Raw genomic sequence first — 3229 nt, 5'->3', positions numbered from 1 at the left:
ATCTCCCTGGGACAGAGCACCTGGGGAAGAGGTGGCTGTGGGCACAGCACAAGCAGATTTAATCGTTCCTGCCTGCCTGCTCTGAAGACAGCAGCTGATCCTGACAAGAGGGATTCTCCCAGCACAGCACACCAGTTCTCTTAAGGGACACACTCCCTCCTCAAGTGGGTCCCTAACCCCCATGCCTCCTGACTGGGAGACAACTCCCAACAGGGGTTGACAGAACCTCACACAGGAGAGCTCCAGCTGTCATCAGGCCAGTGCCCTTCTGGGACGAAGCTTCCAGAGGAAGGAGCAGGAAGCAATCTTTGCTGTTCTACAGCCTCTGCTGGTGATACCCAGGCAAACAGGGTCTGGAGTACACTTCCAGCAAACTGCAGCAGACCCGCAGAAGAGGGGCCTGACTGTTATAAGGAAAACTAACAAACAGAAACAACGTCAACATCAACATAAAGGACCGTCACACAAAAACCCCATCCAAAGTCATCAGCCTCAAAGATCAAAGGTAGATAAATCCACAAAGATGAGGAAAAACTAGCATAAAAACGCTGAAAATTCCAAAAACCAGAATGCCTCTTCTACTCAAAATGATCTCAACTCCTCTCCAGCAAGGGCACAAAACTGGAGAAGGAGATTGATGAATGACAGAAGTAGGCTTCACAAGGTGTGTAATAACAAACTCCTCTGAGCTAAAGGAGCATGTTCTAACCCAATGCAAGGAAGCTAAGAACCTTGATAAAAGGTTACAGAAACTGCTAACTAGACTAGCCAGTTTAGAGGAGAACATAAATGACCTGAGGAGCTGAAAAACACAGCACGAGAACTTTGTAAGATATACACAAGGATCAATAGCCAAATCGATCAAGCAGAAGAAAGGATATTAGAGACTGAAGACCAACTTACTGAAATAAGGTGTGAAGACAAGATTAGAGAAAAAAGAATGAAAAGGAACAAACAAAGCCTCCAGGAAATATGGGACTATGTGAAAAGACCAAACTTATGTTTGATTGGTTTACCTGAAAGTGACGAGAAGAATGGAACCAAGCTGGAAAACAGCTTCAGGATATTATCCAGGAGAACTTCCACAAGGTAGCAATACAGGCCAACATTCAAATTCAGGAAATACGAGAACACCACTAAGATACTGCTCGAGAAAAGCAACCCCAAGAAACGTAATTGTCAGATTCTCCAAGCTTGAAATGAAGGAAAAAAAGTTAAGGGCAGCCAGAGAGAAGGGTCAGGTTACCTATAAAGGGAAGCCCATCAGACTAACAGCATATCTCTCTGCAGAAACCCTACAAGCCAGAAGAGAGTGGGGGCCAATATTCAACATTCTTAAAGAAAAGAATTTTCAACCAAGAATTTCATCTCCAATGCGCCAAATGTGGCCTGTTGTTCCACCACTTCTCTCTTCCCACATACAGGTCTGGTAGAGAAGGAAGACCAGTGGCCAGGTGGCCGCTATCCGTCGTTGTCTGGGACACCGCTCACCTTCCGGCCGTTGTTAATACCGTTGTTCCTGTCGTCAGGACTAGGTCGGTCTCGACCAGTTGGGACAGAGCGGTCCGATCTGCCCGCGCCCCAGTGGCAGGCGACCCACCTTCCCGCGCCCTCCACACCCTAACGGCCTCCGCTGCGAGTTGGGGCGGTCACCATGCTTCCCGGCCCCCCACGCCCGCAGCCACTCAAATGCGCTGCATCCTAGCAGCTCGGCAGGGGCTTAGTTTAGGCCCCGCAGGGCTGGGCCGGGAGACATGGAGGCCGGCGGGGTCTGGGCTGAGAGAGGAGCTGCCATCTGTCACCGAGGTGGGGTAGGGAAGAGAGGTTCGCGGCTTCTTCAGGCCTGGGCCCGCGAGGGGAGCCACAGCGAGGGCACCTGGAGCCTGCAGGGCAGAGGCTGCGGGAGGTCCTGAACCCCCAGCCCCTCCGCAGGCCCATGGTCAGCGCGTCTCACCCGGGTCTCTGCCGGAACTCCACATTCTCTCTATCCAATCCACCACTGATGGGCACCTAGGTTGGTTCTATGTCTCTGCTATTGTGAATAGTGCTGCCATGAACATGAGTGCGTGTGTCCTTTTGGTATAATGATATATTTTCCTTTGACTAAATACGCGGTAATGGAATTGCTGGGTCCAATGGTAGCTCTGTTTTTAGTTCTTTTGGAAAATTCTCCAAACTGCTTTCCACAGTGGCTGAACTAATGTTCATTCTCACCAACAGTGTATAAGCGTTCGAGTTTCTCTGCAGCCTCCGCAATATCTGTTGTTTTTTGACTTTTAAATAGCAGCCATTCTGACTGGTGTGAGATGGAATCTCATTGTGGTTTTGATTTCCGTTTCTCTGATGATTAGTAATGATGAACAATTTTTTCCATATGTTTATTGGTCACCTTTATGTCTTCTTTTGAGAAGTGTCTGTTCATCCTTTGTCATTTGTTAATTTTTTAATGGGGTTATGTTTGTTGATTTAAGTTCCTTATAGATTCTGGATATTAGACCTTTGTTGTATGCATAGTTTGTGAATCTTTTCTCACCTTCCGTAAGTTGTCTGTTTATTCTATTTATAGTTTCTTTTGCTGTGCGGAAGCTCCTTAGTTTAATTTGTATTTATGGATAGTAAAGATAACTAGCATTTGAGTTTGTATAAAGATAAGATGATAAGTATTGAGTTGAGGTGAAGCAACTAATGTCACAGAAGTTAGAAATATTTTGCCACATTGTAAGCTCTATTTGACTTTTGACTTTGTGTAGTAGATATAGATAGCATGAAAGCCTTAATTTTTCGCTTTTCTTGCTAGTAAGGTTATGTTTGCTTAGAGTGACCATTTAAAGTGTGTTTAACATAACATTACTGTTGAAAAACATTCCATTACATGTCCACAAGCAAATTAACTGCACATTTTAAATTGTATTTTACAATACAGTACAAATATTTTAGACCTCAATCTTATCTTCAATTCACTGGTATTTTAAGTTTTGCAATGAATATGAAGTTACTTTTTAGCTTACAGACTCCTTGTATTGTTATTTAAAATGCTTGTTACTATTGTAGGAAGGTTGAAGGCTTCATCTTTTTTTGAGTTAATATTTAAATTCTTATTACTTACTTTGATAGTCTCTAATTAAAAAAAGTAGTATGCAGGCAATTAAACAAATCAGTATATGCATTCAAGAATTTAAAACAATTTTACATTTTGTCATCATTGGGATTAAATTTTGGCCGGGTGTTC

At 44.0% G+C, this 3229-nt stretch overlaps 3 annotated features.

Annotated features, from left to right (window-relative positions):
• Window positions 1061–2260: an enhancer, noted in NCBI's record as "P300/CBP strongly-dependent group 1 enhancer chr6:29127190-29128389 (GRCh37/hg19 assembly coordinates)". NCBI's record gives its function as "activates an origin of replication core promoter dependent on BRD2, BRD4, P300/CBP, MED14 and CDK7 cofactors, with strong dependence on P300/CBP, by STARR-seq in HCT116 cells {active_cell/tissue: HCT116}" and the evidence as "EXISTENCE:reporter gene assay evidence [ECO:0000049][PMID:35650434]".
• Window positions 1061–2297: a biological region, named in NCBI's record as "P300/CBP strongly-dependent group 1 enhancer GRCh37_chr6:29127190-29128389".
• Window positions 1796–2297: an enhancer, noted in NCBI's record as "H3K4me1 hESC enhancer chr6:29127153-29127654 (GRCh37/hg19 assembly coordinates)". NCBI's record gives its function as "activates a minimal SCP1, AML or CMV promoter by ChIP-STARR-seq in primed H9 embryonic stem cells {active_cell/tissue: H9 hESC(primed)}" and the evidence as "EXISTENCE:reporter gene assay evidence [ECO:0000049][PMID:30033119]".

Source organism: Homo sapiens, chromosome 6, assembly GCF_000001405.40.
Source record: "Homo sapiens chromosome 6, GRCh38.p14 Primary Assembly".
Lineage (NCBI taxonomy): Eukaryota > Metazoa > Chordata > Mammalia > Primates > Hominidae > Homo > Homo sapiens.
The sequence above is the reverse complement of the archived record's forward strand: the minus strand, read 5'-3'. Positions and strand labels throughout refer to the sequence as shown.